Genomic DNA, 23,136 nt, shown 5'->3' with positions numbered 1-23,136 from the left:
AATCCTCTCAGTGTTCTGGATGGGACAAGATAGAACGGGGTTTTTTGGATTCAACCTTCAATTCTGGGAGAGCTGAGTGCTCACTTTTCCCTCACTTCCACCTGTGGGAGAAATCATCAACCAAGGGGTTCTTCCTTGGCACTGAGCTGTGCCATCTTGTGTAGGGGGTGATGTGCATAAAATGTAACTGTTCTTACCTACTTTAATGCACACATTATTGAATTTTTTTTGCTCCACCATGATTCTAGAACATCTCAGCTAGACTCCTGAGCTCCTGAAAGGTATTCTTATCCATGGGTGGTTTTAAAATTGGCATTTCTCTGGGGAGTTGAGGGTTGGCACCTCCCATCCCACTATCTTGCTGATGTCATTCTCTAGATAGAATTTTATTTGTCTTTTTACCCTTAGCACAAAGCACAGGATTTGGTACATAAATATTTAATATACATATGTTGATGGCCTTTATAATTATAATGAATGCTCAAAATATTCTAAAGGAGTTAAGTTTATGAACAAGTATTTATCTAGTGCCTGTGAGTCACTATTCTAGGCATTGAAAATAAAGTAATTTGCAAGTTGGATAGTTTCCTGACCTCAAGGTGCTTATATTCTAGTGGGAATAATAAACATAGAAAGCCTCAATCAATAGGTGACATTTAGCTTGAGGCTTGAAGGATGAGAAGGAGTTACCAGTGTGAATATCTAGGGAAAGGATATTCTAGGCAGAAAAGCAGCAAGGATAAGGTCCCTAAGAGAAAAATGAGCTTTCATATTTGAGTGAAATAGTGATGGCCAATGTGGCTGCAATGCAATGCAGGAGGGAAGTGAAGACGGAAATATAAGCAGAGGCTAGATCACATAGCGCTTTGAAAGTCATGGAAAGGAGCTGAATTTTACTTTAAGTATAATGGGAAGACATTAAAAGGGTCTTAAGAGGGAGAATGCTATAACCTGATTTGTGCTTCAGGATAATAGTCTTGTGAAGAAAAGGTGGTAGAGGGCCAAGAGCTGAGTCAGGAAAATCAGTTAGGAAGCTCTTTTAATAGTTCATATGAGAAGTCATGGAGGCTTGGGCTGCAGTTATACAATGGAAAAGGTAAGGAATTGATTTTGAATTTATTTTGGAGGTAGTGCTATTAGGACTTGATTTGGTGTGATGTATGAGGAAAAGAGATGACTCAAGGATAACTCTTAGATTTTTTACCTTATCCTTGAATGTATGATACTATTGTTCACTGAGATGAGACAGGCTAGGAGGAGAAGGGATGGAGTAGTCAACTTTTTGAGAAATTAAATAAAAACGTATTATTGGCATTGCCAAGATATAGATCATTAGCAAACTTGACAAGAAGAAACCTTATAGGAACAGGTCTAGAAGAGAATGGACAGTGATAAAGCAGGATGGTGAATATAGACAAATCTTTTCAAGGGATTTTGCTGCGAAGAGAAACAGAAATGGTCAGTAGCTGAGAGAGGTAGTTTAAGATAGGAACTATTGTAGCAACTATAATGATGGGAATGATCCACTGGAGAAACAACATTTGATGACGTAGGGCTAAAGAGAGGACACTATGGGAAAGAATTTGGAACATTTGAAATAGGTAAGAAGGCAGAGCATGTCGGTACATATCGAGAAGGTTGAGAAATTCATGGTGGGAAATGTACTTATTTTGTCATCAGGAGGCATATATCAAGAAGTTTTCTACTGTCACGTGATACCTTATTCTGCTTATTTTTCAATCTGTTTCCTATGATATTTGCTTTTCCAATTTCCTGCCTGATGTATGCCAGAAGGTAAGTTCAAAAGATTCCCAAAGCTGATTTCTTTATTGGGTTTTATGTGTAGTATGTTTAAAATGATGTTTCCTAATCATAAGCCTATTAATTCTAAGTGGAAAAAGAGCAGGATACCATATATATAAATGTGATTACACTAATGATAATGACTCAAATTTAAATTGCATTTTTTCCAAGCTTGACCTCTAGTTTTTCTTCAAGTCTCAAGTAGTTTTCCCTGAAAGATTCTAGGTATGTCTTGCAGGCGCATGTCTGAGATGATAGAAGCTAAATCCTTCCTCTCCTTCATCTACTTTGTCCTCAGAGTCACTGGAGGTGAGTTTTATCATAAACACTGTGACTGGCATACACTTCTACATGCTGATGTCCTTGCCAAGGGGTTGTCTACAGAAGCTGTCAAATCGTGAGGTACCTAGAGAGGATGTAGCCTAAGGCCACACTTTGAACTCTCCTATTCCCTCACCTTATTTATAAAAAGTGGGCTGTGCCTTGAGAATTTTTTTTTTAGAGATTCAATTTCTCTGTTGAAAATCTTCATTTTTTCATCAATTTCTTTAACATATTTATAATTTTTTTCTTAATTATGGTTCACATTTTCCCAGTTCTTCACATGTCTCCCATTTAAAAAATTACATGCACTGATACTGACATTTTAAAATTTATATGCTTAAACCTCATTGTTTTTAAAATAATTATAGAGATTCAAATAAGTATTATTTCCTCCCAGGAAAAGTGTGCCCTTTCTTTGTGAGGAGTCAAGCTGAGTCAGTGCTGAGTTGCAGCTCTAGGTAGTTTCAGTTCACCTCTAGTTTCAAATATCTAGAGAATGTTACCTGTTCTGTGTGTATTACAGGGCTCCCCCTCTAAAAGGATTTTGAGACCTAAGGGCTTTAAGACTTTTGCTTTCCAGCCCAGCCACCAGCCTGTTGTGCTGCTACTTACTCAACAAAAGTCTCATGGAGATAATTGAAAGGTAGGCAGGATTACCTCTGCATTTGGGGCTCCTATAGATTCCAATCTGTCATACCAGTGTGCATGGTTGTTAAAAGTTCTGCTGGCTTTGCCTTACTTTAGCAGAGTTCCTCTGCTTAAAACACACCCTATCTTTATGCCCATGCCTCCTCTAGGAACAGTTTTTCCCTTTTTGGAATTTAGTTTCCATACACACACACACACACACACACACACACACACACACACACACACACACACACACACATAGTGTATTCTCTCCCTTCTCTGAACACCAACTCACTCACTTTAACATTAAAATAAATTATATATAGTTTATATGTAAACTATTTATAAACTATGTATAACTATTTATATACAGTTTACGTATAAACTATATATATAAATAGTTAATTTAAGTGTTAAAATAAGTGAGTTGGTGTTCGGAGAAGAGAGAGAAATGAACTTTGACTCAGGGAAAGGTTAAGAAGATATGACTGGAATTAAGGCAAAATTGGTTAATGGGTACAAAAATACTGTTTAGATAGAAGGAATGAATTATTTTATTTAATAGTACTATAGAGAAATTATACTTAACATTAATTTATTATATAATTCAAAAAGCTAGGAGAGAAGAATTGTAGTGTTCTCAACACAAATAAAAGATAAATGTTTGAGGTAATGGATATCCCTATTACTCTGATTTGGTCATTACACATTGTATACATGTATGAAAATATGTACCTCAAAAATATATACAACTATGATATATCAATAAAAAATTCAAAAACATTCTAAAAACATCAAAAAGGCCTAAAAGCTGGACACCTAATTTTGTGCTATGGAAAACAGCATGATAAGGGAGTAGAAACATTAAATAAATGAATTTGCATAGTAAAGAATTTGTTTAGATACCATTGTAAGTCCCTGTAAGATTCTAGTGGAGCTAACCGCACTCAGTGGCAGTTTTCCATTTTCACCTATTTAATAGAGTCTGAAAACTTTCCAGTCTTATACAGTCTTGTGTTCATATCTAATTATTCATATCAGATATGCAGTAATTACTGGAATCATTAAAAAGACTGGTCCTAGAACCCAGAAGTTTACTGTTAATTATTGTTTTCTGATAAGATTTATGTAACTTTAATCATAAGGTTCATGATATGGTTTGGCTCTGTGTCCCCACCCAAGTCTCATCTTGAATTGTAATCCAAATTGTAATCCTCATGTGTTGAGGGAGGGACCTAATGGGAGGTGACTGGATCATGGGAGCAGTTTCCCCTGTGCTGTGCTAGTGCTAGTGAGTGAGTTCTCATAAGATCTGATGGTTTTAAAAGTGGCACTTCCTCTTTCACTCTTTCTTTCCTGCTGCCTTGTGAAGAAGGTGACACTTCCCCTTTCGCAATGATTGTAAGACCTCCCCACCCATGCAGAACTGTGAGTCAATTAACCCTCTTTTGTTCATAAATTACCCAGTCTCAGGTAGTAACTTTATAGCAGTTTGAAAATTGACTAATACAGTTCATGAACTTTGATTTAGAACTGGAGTGACTTGTTAAACTCCTATAAAGATATAATACTTGGACTGTTAAGTATAAATTAAAGGCCTGTATAAAAGTAAATTTATCATATTTACCTGTACTCCACATCTTGTCATCCACCATATTTTGAATTTGAAGATACGTAGAGAGGAGAACAAATTTTGTTTGTTAACATGATTTATAACTTTTAAATATTTAAACATATGTTCCTTGTGCCACATTATACCATTTGTACACAAATGTTAGGAATGTGCCTCTTAGCCTTATTTCTCACTGTGCTCATGTCACTTTACAATGCTATACTTTATGGTTTCTCCTGTTCCCAGCATGCCCAGCTCTTTTTTTTTTTTTTTTTTAAAGTTAGTTGTGCCTTTGTCCTTGTCATTCCCTCTTTCTGTAATGCCCTTTCTCTTTTGCTGCCTGGTAGAATCTCTCAGATTCTTCAAAGTTTGACTAAAATGCTGCTTCTTGGGAAGCCCACCTGACCAGTTGGTCTTTCCCTCCTCTGTGATTCTACAGACATTTTTAGTTGTATATATTATATCACTTACAGTAGTGAGCTTTGGTAAACAAGTTCTTACTGTGTTATTCCCAGTTACCTTATGATAAAGTCTAAAATCCTTAGTGAGACTTGCAAGGACCCCACCTTATCACAGCCCGAATACTTAATTCTTCAGTCTCATCTCTTACTCTGGTCAGATTATTCTTTCTATTTCTCAACTGCTTGAGGCTCTCTTCTCAAACTTTTTACACTTGCTGTTCGTTTTGCCTTGGGCATTATTTTCTACACTCTTGGTGACTCTCTACTCATTCCTTCTTTAAATTTTTAGCTAAAAATTTACTTCCGAGAAACTTTCTATGACTCCTTGATTATGTTAGTTCTCCCTGATATAAAAGTGCCCATAGCATCCTATACTTTGCACTTGAGTGGTATATTCTATCTTTTTTATCCATCTATCAATGCTATCAATTAATGCTATCTTTTCCATTGAATTTCATAAGTATGTCTGTCTTGTTCACAGACATATACCCATTACTTAAGCATGTATCAGTTACCTCAAAAGAATTGGCTAAGTATTTCTTGATAGAATGAATGGAAGGATGAGTTCAAAACTTCATGAGAGAAGTCTTCCCACTCATCTCATTCTCCAAGTGCTTATATAATGCGAGGCATGGAGTGTGTACTGAATGCTATCATTAAATTTCATTTTTATAAATATGTTTCCTTTATTTATGACTTATTTGCAGTTTAATACTCAGAATTTTCAAGTAAAGTTGGGTCAATTTTACCCTTTAAAGTTCTTGTATGTTTTTCTGTATTTAAATGCAATACATCATGAAATATTTAGGATTATTTATGGACCTCCTGATCATTATTCTCATACAACTTTGTTGTATCCTGCCAAGTTTAGAGACCTCTCCCCATCCAGGGCTCTAGCTAGATACATTCTCTCCCTAAGGTGTTTTCATCCAATCTGTAGTTGTAAATACCATTTATAGGCTGATAACTCTCAGACTTGATGTGTACCTGAAATTCCAGATTGACATAACCTATTATCTACTGAACATCTTTACTTGGATGGCTGATGGGTATCTCAAACATGACATATATTAAATACAGCTCTAACATTTCTCTCCTTGTTAACAATAATAAATTCTTATTCCCTTAGGAAGAGATGGAATGACATTTGGTCATAGTAAAAAAGTAACAACAGAACAGATTTCACTCATCTCATAGATCAATGTCAGCTTCTTACCAGAGCACACACCTGTAAAAGTTGGCCAAGGAGGCCAGGCGCGGTGGCTCACGCCTGTAATTCCAGCACTTTGGGAGGCCAAGACGGGTGGATCACAAGGTCAGGATTTCAAGACCAGCCTGGCCAACATGGTGAAACCCTGTCTCTACTAAAGATACAAAAACACAATTAGCCAGGCATGGTGGCTCATGCCTGTAATCCCAGCTATTCGGGAGGCTGAGGCAGGAGAATAAGTTGAGCTCAAGAGGCAGAGGTTGCAGTGAGCCGAGATCACACCACTGCACTCCAGCCTGAGTGACAGGGTGAGACTCCATCTCAAAAAAAAAAAAAAAAGTTGGCCGAGGAGCAATAGCCTCACTCCAGTGACAACACTTCTGTGGCCATCAATCCTATGATCAATCAATCTTTAACTACTCCCTCTTAAGTGTTTTTCACTATTTTCAAGATTTTATGCTTCCCCAAATCAAATATATCAGTAGTTTGTTTTCTTCAGAGTCTTTGCCTAGAAACACAGCTCTTCTTTACTTAGCACACACAGAAAGTCAGATTTTGCTTTCAGATACATAATGGAAGCCTCTTCCTTTAACAACCTACAGCTTTTTAGTGAAGATGGCCCAATAGGAACAGCTCCAGTCTGCAGCTCCCAGGGTGAGTGACACAGAAGATGGGTGATTTCTGCACTTCCAACTGAGGTACTGGGTTCATCTCACAGGGGCTTGTCAGAAAGTGGGTGCAGTCCATGGAGCAGGGTGGGGCATCACCTCACCCGGGAAGCGTGAGGGGTTTGGGAATTCCCTTTCCTAGCAAAGGGAAGCCATGACAGACAATACCTGGAAAATCGGGACACACCCACCCTAATATTGCGCTTTTCCAATGGTCTTAGCAAATGGCACAGCAGGAGATTATATCCTGTGCCTGGCACAGAGAGTCCCATGCCCACAGAGCCTCGCTCACTGCTGGCACAGCAGTCTGAGATTGAACTGCGAGGTGGCAGTGAGGTGCCAGCAAGGCTGAGGGAGGGGCATCCACCATTGCTGAGGCTCGAGTAGGTAAACAAAGCCCAGGAAGCTCGAACTGGGTGGAGCCCACTGCAGCTCAAGGAGGCCTGCCTGCTTCTGTAGACTCTACCTCTAGGGGCAGGGCATAGCAGAAAAAAAGGCAGCAGAAACTTCGGCATACTTAATGTCCCTGTCTGACAGCTGTGAAGAGTAGTGGTTCTCCCAGCACGGAGCTTGAGATCTGAGAACGGACAGACTGCCTCCTCAAGTGGGTCCCTGACCCCTAAGTAGCCTAACTGGGAGGCATCTCCCAGTAGGTGGTGACTGACACTACATACGGCCGGGTGTCCCTCTGAGACGAAGCTTCCAGAGGAATGATCAGGCAGCAACATTTACCATTCTGCAGACTCTGCTGGTGACATCAGGCAAACAGGGTCTGGAGTGGACCTCCAGCAAACTCCAAAAGACCTGCAGCTGAGGGTCCTGACTGTTAGAAGGAAAACTAACAAACAGAAAGGACATCCACACCAAAACCCCATTGATACGTCACCATAATCAAAGACCAAAGGTAGATAAAACCACAAAGATGGGGAGAAACCATAGCAGAAAAGCTGAAAATTCTAAAAATCAGAGCACCTCTTCTCCTCCAAAGGAATGCAGCTCCTCGCCAGCAAAGGAACAAAGCTGGATGGAGAATGACTTTGATGAGTTGAGAGAAGGCTTCAGACAATCGGTAATAACAAACTTCTCCGAGCTAAAGGAGGATATTTCGAACTCATTGCAAAGAAGTTAAAAACCTTGAAAAAAGATTAGACGAATGGCTAACTAGAATAATCAATGCAGAGAAGTCCTTAAAGGACCTGATGGAGCTGAAAACCATGGCACGAGAACTACGTGATGAATGCACAACCTTCAGTAGCTGATTCGATCAACTGGAAGAAAGGGTATCAGTGATGGAAGATCAAATGAATGAAATGAAGTGAGAAGAGAAGTTTAGAGAAAAAAGAACAAAAAGAAATGAACAAAGCCTCCAAGAAAAATGGGACTATGTGAAAAGACCAAATCTACGTCTGATTGGTGTACCTGAAAGTGACGGGGAGAATGGAACCAAGTTGGAAAACACTCTGCAGGATATTATCCAGGAGAACTTCCCCAATCTAGCAAGGCAGGACAACATTCAAATTCAGGAAATACAGAGAATGCCACAGAGATACTCCTTGAGAAGTGCAACTCCAAGACACATAATTGTCAGATTCACCAAAGTCAAAATGAAGGAAAATATGTTAAGGGCACCCAGAGAGAAAGGTCGGGTTACCCACAAAGGGAAGCCCATCAGACTAACAGTGGATCTCTCAGCAGAAACTCTACAAGCCAGAAGAGAGTGGGGGCCAATATTCAACATTCTTAAAGAAAAGAATTTTCAACCCAGAATTTCATACCCAGCCAAACTAAGCTTCATAAGTGAAGGAGAAATAAAATCCTTTACAGAGAAGCAAATGGTGGGAGATTTTGTCACCACCAGGCCTGCCCTACAAGAGCTCCTGAAGGAAGCACTAAACATGAAAAGGAACAACGAGTACTAGCCACTACAAAAACATTCCAAATCGTAAAGACCATCGAGGCTAAGAAGAAACTGCATCAACTAACGAGCAAAATAACCAGCTAACATCATAATGACAGGATCAAATTCACACATAACAATATTAACCTTAAGTGTAAATGGGCTAAATGCTCCAATTAAAAGACACAGACTGGAAAATTGCATAGTCAAGACCCATCAGTGTGCTGTATTCAGGAAACCCATCTCATATGCAGAGACATACATAGGCTCAAAATAAAGGGATGGAGGAAGATCTACCAAGCAAGTGGAAAACAAAAAAAGGCATGGGTTGCAATCCTAGTCTCTGATAAAACAGACTTTAAACCAACAAAGATCAAAAGAGACAAAGAAGGCCATTACATAATGGTAAAGGGATCAATTCAGCAAGAAGAGATAACTATCCTAAATATATATGCACCAAATATAGGAACACCCAGATTCATAAAGCAAGTCCTTAGAGACCTACAAAGAGAGTTAGATTCCCACACAATAATAATGGGAGACTTTAACACCCCACTGTCAACATTAGACAGATCAACAAGACAGAAAGTTAACAAGGATATCCAGGAATTGAACTCAGCTCTGCGCCAAGCAGACCTAATAGACATCTACAGAACTCTCCACCCCAAATCAACAGAATATACTTCTTTTCAGCACCACACCACACCTATTCCAAAATGGACCACATAGTTGGAAGTAAAGCTCTCCTCAGCAAATGTAAAAGAACAGAAATTATAACAAACTATCTCTCAGACCACAGTGCAATCAAACTAGAACTCAGGATTAAGAAACTCACTCAGAACTGCTCAACTACATGGAAACTGAACAAGCTGCTCCTGAATGACTACTGGGTACATAACAAAATGAAGGCAGAAATAAAGATGTTCTTTGAAACCAATGAGAACAAAGACACAACATACCAGAATCTCTGGGACACATTCAAAGCAGTGTGTAGAGGGAAATTTATAGCACTAAGTGCCCACAAGAGGAAGCAGGAAAGATCTAAAATTGGCACCCTAACATCATAACTAAAAGAACTAGAGAAGCAAGAGCAAACACATTCAAAATCTAGCAGAAGGCAAGAAATAACTAAGATCAGAGCAGAACTGAAGGAAATAGAGACACAAAAAACTCTTCAAAAAATCAATGAATCCAGGAACTGATTTTTTGAAAAGATCAACAAAATTGATAGATCGCTAGCAAGACTAATAAAGAAGAAAAGAGAGAAGAATCAAATAGACGCAATAAAAAATGATAAAGGGGATATCACCACTGATCCCACAGAAATACAAACTACCATCAGAGAATAGTATAAACACCTCTATGCAAATAAACTAGAAAATCTAGAAGAAATGGATAAATTCCTGGACACATACACACTCCCAAGACTAAACCAGGAAGAAGTTGAATCTCTGAATAGACCAATAACAGGTCTTGAAATTGAGGCAATAATTAATAGCCTACCAATCAAAAAAAGTCCAGGACCGGATGAATTCACAGCCGAATTCTACTAGAGGTACAAAGAGGAGCTGGTACCATTCCTTCTGAAACTATTCCAATGAATAGAAAAAGAGAGAATCCTCCCTAATTCATTTTATGAGGCCAGCATTGTCCTGATACCAAAGCCTGGCAGAGACACAACAAAAAAAGAGAATTTTAGACCAACATCCCTGATGAATATCGATGCAAAAATCCTCAATAAAATACTGGCAAACCGAATCCAGCAGCACATCAAAAAGTTTATCCACCACGATCAAGTTGGCTTCATCCCTGGGATGCAAGGCTGGTTCAACATATACAAATCAATAAATGTAATCCATCATATAAACAGAAACAAAGACAAAAACCACATGATTATCTCAATAGATGCAGAAAAGGCTTAAGATGCAGAAACTAGCTAAGTTTCTTTCATACAAATTTTAGAATCAACTTTATTTCTATAAAAAAGGCTACTTCAATTTTGACTTTGCACTGCATAGATAGATTAATTTGGGAAAATGAATTGAGTTTTTAATCTATGAACATGGTATATATTTCCATTTATTCTTTAATTACTTTTGGCAGTGCTTTGTAATGTTCAATGTACAGGTCTTGCACATATGTTTTTGATTTATTTGTTTCTAAGTATTTCATGTTTTTGAAGCTATGGTAAATGTTATTGCTATACCAGAATTTATTTATCTATTATGTTGTTTATGATATAAGAACTATTTAGTTTTTGGCTCTTATGAGTAACACAGCTACGCACATTTTAAAATAAGTATTTTAGTGCATATATGCAAAAGTTATTTTTGGATATACTGTTAAGAGTGAAATTGCTGGGTTGTTGAGTATGCATATGTTCAACTACAGTAGATAATCCTGAATGATTTTCCAAAGTTTGGTTCCCAAATTTGATGAAAGACATGAATTTACACACACTCAACAAACTCAACAGGAGCAAGCTAGTGGAATAAAAGATTCCACCCATCATCCCTGCCACAAGGACACCAATTTAACAATTTATTTTTTAAATTTGAGATAGAGTCTCACTTTGTTGCCCAGGCTGGAGTGCAGTGTCATGATCTCAGCTCACTGAAGCCTCTGCCTTCCAGGTTCAAGTGTTTCTCCTGCCTCAGCCTCTTGAATAGCTGTGAGTACAAGTGCGCTAATTTTTGTATTTTTAGTAAAGACAGGTTTTGCCATGTTGGCCAGGCTGGTCTCGAGCTCCTGACCTCAGGTGATCCACCTGCCTTGGCCTTCCAAAGTGCTGGGATTCTAGGGATGAGCCACAATGCCCAGCCAAATTTAACAATTAGGTACACAGAAAAAACACCTCATAAGAACAAAAAATCAGGTGAACTCTCACAGTACCTGGCTTTAACTATATTATCCCTGAAAGAGGCACTGAAGAGATAGAAAAAGCAATCTTGAATCACTGATGCCACCCCCATCCCAACCCTAGCTGTGGTGGCTGGGTGCAGAGAGTGTCTCTGGGCACTGGGGGAAGGAGAGCATAGCAATTGTGAGGAATTGAACTCAGTTCTGTCCTGATAGAGCATAAAGGAAAACTGGACCAAACTCAGCTGACACCCACCCATGAAGGGAGCATTAAAATCAGCCCTTGCCAGAGAGGAATTGTAGGTCCCAGAGATCGGAACTTAAGTTCCCACAAACCTCACCACTGAGGGCTGGAGTACTCTGAGTCTCTGAGTAAACTTGAAAGGCAGTCTAGGCCATAAGAACTGCAACTCTTAGGTGAGTTCTAGTGCTGAACTGGGCCCAGAGACAGTGGACTGGGGGGGCATGTGACATACTGAGAAACCAGCTTGGGCAACTAAGGGAGTGCTGGCATCACCCCTCTCCTAACCCCAGGCTGTACCACTCATAGCTCCAAATGAGACCCCTTCCTTCTGCTTGAGGAGAGGACAGGGAAGGGTGGGGAGCACTTTGTCTTACTTCTTGGATACCAGCTCAGCCACAGCAGATAAGGCACTGGTCATACCCCTGTTCCAGACCCTAGTTCCCAGACATTTCTAGGCACACCCTGGGGCAGAGGAAACTTGCTGCCTTGAAGGGAAGGATCTGGTTCTGGCAGGACCCGTCACCTTCTAAGAGTCCTTGGGCCCTGAATAACCAGTAGTGAGGTAGTATGCTGTGGGCCTTTGCTGAAACTCTGAGACTTGTGGCTTCAGGTGAAATTCAGAAATTTCCAGCTGTGGTGGCTACGGGGCAAAACTCCTTTTGCTTGAGAAAAGCAGAGAGAAAAGTAAAAGGGACTTTATCCTGCCACTTAGGTACCAGCATGGCCACAGTGGGGTAGAGCATCAGTGGGCTCTTGCAGTCCTCAATTCTAGTACATGACTCTTGGCCAGCATATCTGGACCTGCCCTGGGCCAGAAGAGAGCCCATTTCCCTAAAGGATGAGTCCCAGGCCAGGCAGAATTCACCATAAGCTGACTTAAGAGCCCTTGGGTCTTAAGGGAACATTAATGGTAGTCTGGCAGAACTCCCTGTGGCCTGTGGTGTGGTAGCTGTGGGAGTGAGGCTCCTCTGCCTTTGGAAAGCAGAAGTAAGTGCATCTTTTGGTTTGAGTGCCAGCTCAGCTGCAGTATAGTAGAACACCAGGTAGACTTCTAAGGTTTTTGACTCTAGTCCCTGACATCCGGATGGCACCTCTGGACCCACCCAGGGCATGAGGGAACTCACTACCTTGAAGGGAAAGACACAGACCTGGGTGGCTTTGCCATCTGCTGATTGTAGAGCCCCAGGGCCTTGAGCAAACACAGACAATTCCCAGGGAGTGGTTATAGCAGGCCCTGGGTGAAATTCAGTGCTGTACTGGCTTCGGGTCTGACCCAGTGCAGTCATAGTGGTGGTGGCCACAGGGGTGCTTGTCACTCACTCCAAGTTTTAGGTGGCTCAGAACAGAGAGAGAGACTTTCTTTGTTTGGGAGAAAGTAAGGGAAGAGAACAAGAGTCTCCACCTTGTAATCCAGAGAATTCTCCCAGATCTTGTCCAAGACCATCAAGGCAGTACCACTACGAGTCTGCAAGAACCACAGCATAACTGGGCTTGGGGCGCCTCTAAAGTGATACAGCTTAGATCACAACACCCAAGTTCTTTAGAATATACGGAAATCCTTTCCAAGAAGGATGGGTACAAACAAGTCCAGATAGAGGACAGTACAATAAATAACAAATTATTCAATGACCAGAAACTGAAGAAAATCCATATACATCAAGGCCATCCAGGAAAACATGACCTCATCAAATGAATTAAATAAAACACCAAGGACCAATCCTGGAGAAACAGAAATATGTGACCTTTCAGACAGGGAATTCAAAATAGCTGAGGAAGCTCAAAGAAGTTCAAGCTCAAAGAAGTTCAGAATTCTATTAGATAAATTTAACAAAGAGATTGAGATAATTAAAAAGGATCAAGAAAAAATTTTGGAGTTGAAAAATGCAATTGGCATACTAAAGAATGTGTAAGAGCCTTAATAGCAGAATTGATCAAGCAGAAGAAAGAATTAGTGAGCCTGAAGACAGGCTATTTGAAAATACACAGCTAGAAGAGACAAAAGAAAAAAAGAATAAAAAACAAGGAAGCATGCCTATGGGATATAAGAAACAGCCTCAAGAGGGCAAACCTAAGAATTATTGACCCTAAAGAGGAGGTAGAGAAAGAGATAGGGGTAGAAAGTTTATTCAAAAAGATAACAGAGAACTTACCAAACCTAGAGAAAGATATCAATATCCAAACACAAATATAACGAGAAGGTTATAGAACACCAAGCAGATTTAAACCAAAGAAGACTACCTCAAGACATTTAATAATTAAGCTCCCAATGATCAAAGAGAAAGGATTCTAAAAAGAAGAAGAGAAAAGAAACAAGTAACATACAAAGGAGCTCCAATACATGTGGCATCAGACTTTTCATTGGAAATGTTACAGGCCAGGAGAGAGTGGCATGATGTACTTGAAGTGCTGAGGCAAAAAACTTTTATCCTAGAATAGTAAATCCAGTGAAAATATCCTTCAAACATGAAGGAGAAATAAAGATTTTCCCAGACAAAAGCTGAGGGGTTTGATCAACACCAGACCTGTCCTATAAGAAAAACTTAAGGGAATACTTCAATCAGAAAGAAAAGGACATTAATGAGTAATAAGTAATCACCTGAAGGTTCAAAACTCACTGGTAGTAGTAAGTACACAGAAAAACACAGAATATTATAACACTGTAACTGTGGTGTGTGAACTGCTTTATCCTAAGTAGAAAGACTAAACAATGAATCACTCAAAACTAACTAAACAACTTTTCAAGACATAGACAGTACAATAAATAAATAAAAACAACAAAAAATTAAAAACTGAGGGGATGAAGTTAGTGTGCAGAATTTTTATTAGTTTTAGCTTGCTTGTTTGTTTATGCAAAGTATTAAGTTGTTATCAGCTTAAAATAATAGATTATAATATAGTATTTGCAAGCCTCATGGTAACCTCAAACAAAAAAACATACAATGAATACACAAAAAAATAAAAGCACGAAACTAAATCATATCACCAGAGAAAATTGCCTTTACTAAAAAAAGATGGGAAGGAAAGAGAGAAGGAAGAGACCAAAAAACAATAACAAAATGGCAGGAGTAAGTCTTCACTTATCAATATAGCACTAAATGTAAATGGACTAAACACTTCAATCAAATGACAGAGTGGTTGAATAAATGAAAATATTTAGATTGGTGCAAAAGTAATTGTGGTTTTTGCCACTAAAAGTAATGGCAAAATCCGCAATTACTTTTGCACCAACCTATAGCAGAACTGTTGACCCGTTGCTTACAAGAAGCACACTGCACCTATAAATAAACACATAGACTAAAAATAAAGGGATGGAAAAAGATATTCTATGCCAATGGAAACCAAAAAAGAGCAGGAGTAGCTATACTTGTATCAGACAAAATAGATTTCAAGACAAAAACTATAACAAGAGACAAAGAAGGTAACTGTATAATAATAAAGGAATCAATTCAGCAAAAGAATATAAAAAATTTAAATACATAAACACTCAACACTGAAGCACCCAGATACACAAGGCAAATATTATTAGAGTTGGAGAGAGACAGGCCCTGATACAATAATGGCTGGAGATTTCAACACCCCACTTTCAACATTGGACAGATCTTCCAGACAGCAAATCAGCAAAGAAACATCAAACATAATCTGCATTATAAGCCAAATATATCTAATAGATAGTTACAGAACACTTCATCCAATGGCTGCGGAATACACATTCTTCTCATTAACACATGGATTTTTCTCAAGAATAGACCATGTGTTATTTCACAAAACAAGTCTTAAAACATTTTAAAAAATTGAAATAGTATCAAGCATCTTCTTTGACCACAGTGGAATAAAACTACAAATTAATATCAAGAGGAATTTTGAAAACTATACAAATACAAGAAAATTAAACAATATGCTCCTGAATGACCAGTGGATCAAGGAAGAAATTAAGATGAAAATTTAAAAATTTCCTGGAATAAATGGTAATGAAAACACAACATACCAAAACCTATTGGATATAGAAAAAACAGTACTAAGAGGGAAGATTATAGCTATAAATGCCTACATCAAAAAAAGAGAAAAAACTTCAAATAGACAATCTAATGATACATCCTAAAGAATTAGAAAAGCAAGAACAAACCAAATCTAAAATTAGTAGAATAAAAAAATTATGACGATCACAGCAGAAATAAATGAATTTGAAATGACAAAAACAATACAAAAGATCAATGAAACAAAAGTTGGTTTTTTGAAAAGTTAAACAAAATTGGCAAACTTTAGGCCAGATTAAGAAAAAAAGAGAGAAGATCCAAATAAATAAAATCATAAATGAAAAAGGAGACATCATAACTGATACTGCAGAAATTCAAAGCATCATTAGTGAATACTCTGAACAACTATATGCTAATAAGTTGGAAAATCTAGAAGAAATGGACAAATTCCTAGACACATACAACCTGCCAAGACTGAACCAGAAACAAATCCAAAACTTGAACAGACCAGTACCAAGTAATGAGATTGAAGCTGCAATCAAAAGTTTCCCAGCAAAGTAAAGCCTGGGGCCCAATGGCTTCATGACAGAATTCTACCAAACATTTAAAGAAGAACTAATACCAATCCTACTCGAACTATCCCCAAAAAATAGAGGAGGAGGGAATACTTTCAAACTTATTCTATGGCTCTGAACCAAAGCCAGACAAAGATGCATCCAAAAAAGAAAAGCACAGGCCAATATCCCTGGTAAATATTGATGCAAAAGTTGTCAACAAAATACTAGCAAACTGGATTCAACAGTACATTAGAAAGATCATTTATCATGACTAAATGAAATTTGTCCCTTGGAGGCAAGCATGTTTCAACATATGCAAATCAATCCATGTGATACATGATATCAATGAATGAAGGATTAAAAACTATATGATCATTTCAATTGATGCTAAAAATACTTGATAAAATTCAACATTCCTTCATGATAAAAACTCTCAAAAAACTAAGTATAGAAGGATCATACCTCAGCATAAAAAAACCATAAATGAGAGACCCACAGTTAATATCATACTGAATGGGGATAAACTAAAAGCCTTTCCCCTAAGATCTGGAACACAATAAGGTGCCTACTTTCACCACTGTTATTCAATATAGTACTAGAAGTCCTAGCTAGAGCAATCAGACAAGACAAAGAAATTTAGAACTTCCAATTTAGAAAGGATGAATTCAAATTATCCTTGTTTGCAAATGATATGGTCTTATATTTGGGAAAACCTAAAGACTCCACCAGAAAACTATTAGAAGTGATAAACAAATTCAGTAAAGTTGCAGAATACAAAATCAACATACAAAAATTAGTAACATTTATATCTGCCAACAGCAAACAATCTGAAAAAGAAATTGAGAAAGTAATTCCATTTACAATAGCCACAAATAAAATTAAATACCTAGGAATCAACTTAACCAAAGTAAAAGACCTCTATAGTGAAAACTATAAAACACTGATGAAAGAAATTGAAGAGGACATCAAAAAATGGAAAGATATTCCATGTTTATGAATTGGAAGAATCAACATTGCTAAAATGTCCATACTAATCAAAGCAATCTACAAATTCAATGCAATCCCTATCAAAATGACATTTGATATGGCTTGGCTGTGTCCCTAACCAAATTACATCTTGAATTGTAGTTTCCATAATCCCTACATGTCATGAGAGGGACCCAGTGGGAGGTAATAATTGAATCATGGGGGCACTTGCCCTTGTGCTGCTGTTCTTGTGATAGTGAGTGAGTTCTCAGAAGATCTGATGATTTTATAAAGGGCTTTTTCCCCCTTTTGCTCAGCACTTCTTCCTGCCACCATGTGAAGGACATGTTTGCTTCCCCTTCCACTGTGATAGTAAGTTTCCTGAGGTCTCATGAAGAAAGATGTGTTTGCTTCCCCTTCCACCATCATTATAAGTTTTTTGAGGTCATACTGAACTTTGAGTCCGTTAAACCTCTTTATTTTATAAATTACCCAGTCTCAGGTATGTCATTATTAGCAGCATGAGAATGGACTAATATAACATTCATCGCAGAAGTAGAAAAAGCAATCCTAAAATTTATATGGAACCACAAAAGACCCAGAATAGCCAAAGCTATCCTAAGCAAAAAGCACAGAACAGGAGGAGTCACATTACATGACTTCAGATTATACTAAAGAGCTATAATAACCAAAACAGCATTGTACTGACATAAAAACAGACACCTAGACCAATAGGATAAAATAGAGAACTCAGAAACAAATCCATACACTTACAGTTAGTGAGATGAGTTCACTAACTCATTTTTGACAAAGGTGCCAAGAACATACACTTGGAAAAAGACAGTCTCTTCAATGAATGGTACTGTGGAAACTGGATATCTGTATGCAGAATAATGAAACCAGACCCCTATCTATTGCCATATACAAAAATCAAATCAAGACGAATTAAAGACTTACATCTAAGACCTCAAACTATGAAACTGCTACAAAAAAACTTGGTGAAATTCTCCAGGACATTGGTCTGGGCAAAAATTTATTGAGTAATACCACATGAGCACAGGCAACCAAAGTAAAAATAAACAAATAGGTTTACTCACATTAAAAAGCGACTGCCTAACAAAGGAAACAGTCAACAAAGTGAAGAGACAACCCACAAAATGGAAGAAAATATTTGCTAACTACCCATTTGACAAGGGATGACTAACCAGAATGTATAAGGAGCTCAAACAAGTCTACAGAAAAAAAAATCTAATAACCCAATCAAAAAATGGGCAAAAGATTTAAATAGACATTTCTCAAAAGAAGACATACAAATGGCAAACAGGCACATGAATAGGTGCTCAACATCATTGATCATCAGAGAAATGCAAATCAAAACTACAATAAGTTATCTTCTCACCCCAGTTAAAATGGCTTATATCCAAAAGACAACCAATATCAAAGCTAGTGAGGAGGTGGAGAAAGGAGAACCCTCATATACTGTTGGATTGTAAATTAGTACAGTCATTATGGAGAACAATTTGGAGATTCCTCAAGAAACTTAAAAATAGAGGTATCATATGATCCAGCAGTCCCACTGCTGGGTATAGACCCCAGAGAAAGTAAATCAGTATTTTTTTTTTTTAGATGGAATCTTGCTCTGTCGCCCAGGCTGGAGTGCAGTGGCACAATCTTGGCTCACTACAAGCTCCACCTCCTGGGTTCACGCCATTCTCCTGCCTCAGCCTCCCAAGTAGCTGGGACTACAGGCTCCCGCCACCATGCCCGGCTAATTTTTTTTTATTTTTAGTAGAGACAGAGTTTCACCATGTTAGCCAGGATGGTCTCGATCTTCTGACCTTGTGATCTGCCTGCCTCAGCCTCCCAAAGTGCTGGGATTACAGGCATGAGAAAATCAGTATTTCAAAATGATATCTGCACTCCCATGTTTATTGTAGCAGTGTTCACAATAGCTAAGATTTGGAAGCAACCTAATTGTTCATCAACAGATGAATGGATAAAGAAAATGTGGTACATATACACAATAGAGTACTACTCAGCCATAAAAAAAATGAGATTCTGTCATTTGCAACAACATAGATGAACTGGAGATTATTGTGTTATGTGAAATAAGCCAGGCACAGAAAGACAAACATCTCATGTATCACTGATTCATGAGATCTCAAAATAAAAACTGTTGAACTCATGGAGATACAGAGTAAAATAATGGTTACCAGAGGCTGGGAAGCATAGTTGGGCAGGGGGCAGTGGGGATGGTTAATGGGTACAAAAAATAATTACAAAAATAAATAAGACGTACTATTTGGTTGCACACCAGTGTATCTATAGTCAATAATAATTTAATTGTACATTTTAAAATAACTAAATTAGTATAGTTGGATTGTTTGTAACACAAAGGACAAATGCTTCAGGGGATGGATACCCTATTCTCCATGATGAGATTATTTCACATTCATTCCTGTGTGGAAAGATTGCATGTACCCTATAAATATATACACCCACTCTGTAGTCACAAAAATTAAAAATAAAAAATCATAGAAGAAAACAACTTCAACATAACACAAGTAGGGTAACTTCAAAGATATCTTTGTAGAGACACATTATAGTCAAGGTGTTGAAAGCTAAATGCAAAGAAAAAAAAGCAGCAAGAGAGAAGTGATTTGTCGTGCAAAGGGATTCTCAATAAGATTAATGGCTAATTTCTTATCAGAAACCATGGTGACCCAAGGGCAGTGGAATGACATATTCAAGTTATGAAAGAAAAAACTGTCAACTAAAAATTCTATAATCCTGAAGAAATGGAAGAAGTAGAAACAGGCCGGTGTCTGTAAACTGATGAATGGATTTAACAAATGAGGTATATCCTTACAGTGGAACATTATTCAGCCATAAAAAGGAATGAAGTACTGATACATGCCACAATGAAGATGAACTTTGAAAACATTATGCCAAATGAAGTATACTAGATGAAAAGTCCCACATATTGTATGATTACATTTATATGGAATATCAAGATAGGCAAATACATGGTGACAGAAATCAGATAGTACTTATCAGGGGCTGTGGTGAGGGTAGAGGAAATGGGAAGCAACTGCATAAAGGGTATGAAAATTTTTTCTGGAGTGATGAAAATGTTCTAGAATTAGATAGCAGTGATGATTGTACAACATTGTGAATGTACCAAAAGCCAGTGAATAGCATTATTTACATTCTAGAATATTATTATTACTATTACTATATTATTATTCTGAGATGGAGTCTTGCTCTGTCACCCAAGCTGGAGTGCAGAGGGCGGATCTTTGCTCACTGCAAACTTCGCCTCCCAGGTTCAAGCAATTCTCATTCCTCAACCTCCCAAGTAGCTGGCATTACAGACACACCACCATGCAAGGCTAATTTTTGTATTTTTTATAGACACGGGTTTTTACCATGTTGGCCAGGCTGTCTTGAGCTCCTGACCTCACATGATCCATCCGCCTTGGCCTTCCAAAGTGCTGGGATTGTAGGCTTGAGCCACTGCGCCCAGCTAGAATATTAGTTTTAAAAGCAGAAAATAATATATCTTTCATGGTAGCTTTTTAAGACACTGTATTACTTTGAATTAACTCTGGCAACAGGGTTTTTCTAATCTCAAATCTTACCACATGGCTGCCTTTCCCATATAAAGTTAAGGGCTTGTACTTTAAAATGGTTAAAATGGTAAATTTTATGTTATGTGGTGAATTTTACCTTATTCACTAAAATAAATAATGAAAATATTGGATTATAACTAAGAGAATAAAATAAATATCTCTGGGTCTATAAAGGAGAAATCCTACTAAAAGCATTGCAATTAATAAATGAAGAAATGAGAACATAGAAATCACCATTAACACACGATAGTATGCTGTGCGTGATGGCTTACACCTGTAATCCCAGCACTTTGGGAGGCTGAGGCAGGTGAATTTCTTGAGCCCAGGAGTTCGAGACCAGCCTGTGCAACATGATGAAACCCCATCTCTACTAAAAATGCAAAAAATTAGCCATCTGTGGTGGTGCATACCTTTAGTCTCAGCTACCCAGGAGGCTGAGGTGGGAGGATCGCTTGAGTCTGGGAGGTTGAGGTTACAGTGAGCCATGATGGCACCACTGCACTCCAGTCTGGGTGACAGAGTGAGACCTTGTCTCAAACAACAACAATATACAAACAAAAAACCCATCATAATAATTGTTGCAGGTGAAGCCCATCTTTTCATATGCTTATTTTTGTTAACTGTGTATCTTTGCTGAAGATCTGTTCGGACTTTTTGTTTATTTTTTTTTCACTGGGTTGTTTATATTTTTATTAGAGTTACAAGTCTTTTTTTTTTTTTTTTTTTTCTGAGACGGAGTTTCGCTCTCTCACCAGGCTGGAGTACAGTGGCACGAACTCGGCTCACTGCAACCTCCACCTCCCAAGTTCAAGCAATTCTACTGCCTCAGCCTCCCGAGCAGCTGGGACTACAGGAGCATGCCACCACACCCAGCTAATTTTTGTATTTTTTTAGTTGAGATGGGGTTTCACCATGTTGACCTTGTGATGCACCTGCCTCGGCCTCCCAAAGTGTTGGGATTACAGGCGTCAGCCACCTCACCCGGCCAGAGTTACAAGTTTTTAATTGGATATATGATTTGCAAATTTTCCTTTGAAGCTTGTCTTTTCATGTTTTTTTTAACAAAATCTTTCACAGAACAAAGTTTTAAATTTTTGATAAAGTTAAGTTTCAGATTTTTCTTTTACGGATTATGTTTTTGTTGTCATTTCTCAAAACTCATTTAAATGGAAAACATATAGAGATTTTCTTATACTTTTTTCTCCTAGAAACATAGTTTAATATTTTGTATTTAGATCTATATTTTGTATTTAGGTCTTTCCTTATTTTGAGTTAATTTTTGTATGAGGTGTTATATATGTGTCAACAATGTTATTATTTCTTTTTTTGGATAAGGATGTCCAATTTTTCCAGCACTGTTCAATGAAGTGATACTTTTTCCTTTGAATTCCCTTTGAACTTTCATCAAAAATCAGTTAACCCTATTTCTGTGGGTCTATTTCTAGGCTCTATTCTGTTTCACTGATCTATGTGTCTATTCTCTTGCAAATACCATATTATCTTGACTACCGTAGTTTTACAGGAAGCCTTGAAGTCAGCTAGTGTAAGTCCTTCAACTCTGTTCTTCTTTTTCAGATTTGTTGTTGTTGTTGTCATTCTAGGTCTTTTGAATTTCCCGTAAGTTCATAATAGTCCTCTCACATTCTATCAAAAAACCTGCTGGAGTTTTGATTGGGATTTTGTCAAATTTACGGATCAATTTTGGCACAATTACTATCTTTACATTATTGATTCTGTCGCAGGATTGTCCAAAAAAGTTATTAAGTCTTCTGGTTCATAAACCTGATATATCTCTCCATTAATTTATATATTTAACTTAGCAGTGTTTTGTACTTTTTAGTGTGTAATTTTTAAACACTTGTCATATTATCCCAAAACATTTCATATTGTTGACGTTATTATAAATGTTATGTTTAAAAAGAATTCAGTTTCCAGTTCTATGCTTGGGGATAGAAATACAATTGAGTAACTTCTGCAGAATGCTGTTTTATATTCAACCTTGGTAAACTCACATATTAGTTTTAGTAGCTGTTTTGCAAAATCTGTTGAATTTATTTAATTTTTTTTTTTACATAGATGATCATGTCATTTGCAAACAAAGACAAAGTAACACTTCTTTCCAATCTGGATGGCTTTTTTTTTCTTCTTATTTTATTACACTATTGGAATCTCTAGTAGAATGTTGAATAGAAGGGCAAAGTTTGTTTTCAATTACAAAATCTACCATTACTATAAATGAAAGTCTATAGTGATGTTTTTAGAAATCTTCCAGGTGATTTTTATCCTCAGCCATTATGGA

General features: G+C 37.7%; 1 long non-coding RNA gene across 1 annotated transcript in view, besides 2 other annotated features; it reads left to right on the top strand.

Moving 5' to 3' along the window:
* CLCA4-AS1 (CLCA4 antisense RNA 1) overlaps nucleotides 1-23,136 on the top strand; it is a 133,313-nt gene that overhangs the window by 83,281 nt on the left and 26,896 nt on the right. The gene's annotated exons all lie outside the window — the stretch shown is intronic.
* Nucleotides 3,940-3,989: an enhancer, noted in NCBI's record as "active region_1278". NCBI's record gives its function as "activates an Ori minimal core promoter by ATAC-STARR-seq in GM12878 lymphoblastoid cells {active_cell/tissue: GM12878}" and the evidence as "EXISTENCE:reporter gene assay evidence [ECO:0000049][PMID:35858748]".
* Nucleotides 11,185-11,357: a silencer, noted in NCBI's record as "fragment chr1:87075539-87075711 (GRCh37/hg19 assembly coordinates)". NCBI's record gives its function as "represses an EF-1alpha promoter that drives an FKBP-Casp9 reporter gene in an ReSE screen in K562 erythroleukemia cells {active_cell/tissue: K562}" and the evidence as "EXISTENCE:reporter gene assay evidence [ECO:0000049][PMID:32094911]".

This window comes from Homo sapiens, chromosome 1, assembly GCF_000001405.40.
Source record: "Homo sapiens chromosome 1, GRCh38.p14 Primary Assembly".
In the NCBI taxonomy this organism is placed as follows: domain Eukaryota; kingdom Metazoa; phylum Chordata; class Mammalia; order Primates; family Hominidae; genus Homo; species Homo sapiens.
The sequence above is the reverse complement of the archived record's forward strand: the minus strand, read 5'-3'. Positions and strand labels throughout refer to the sequence as shown.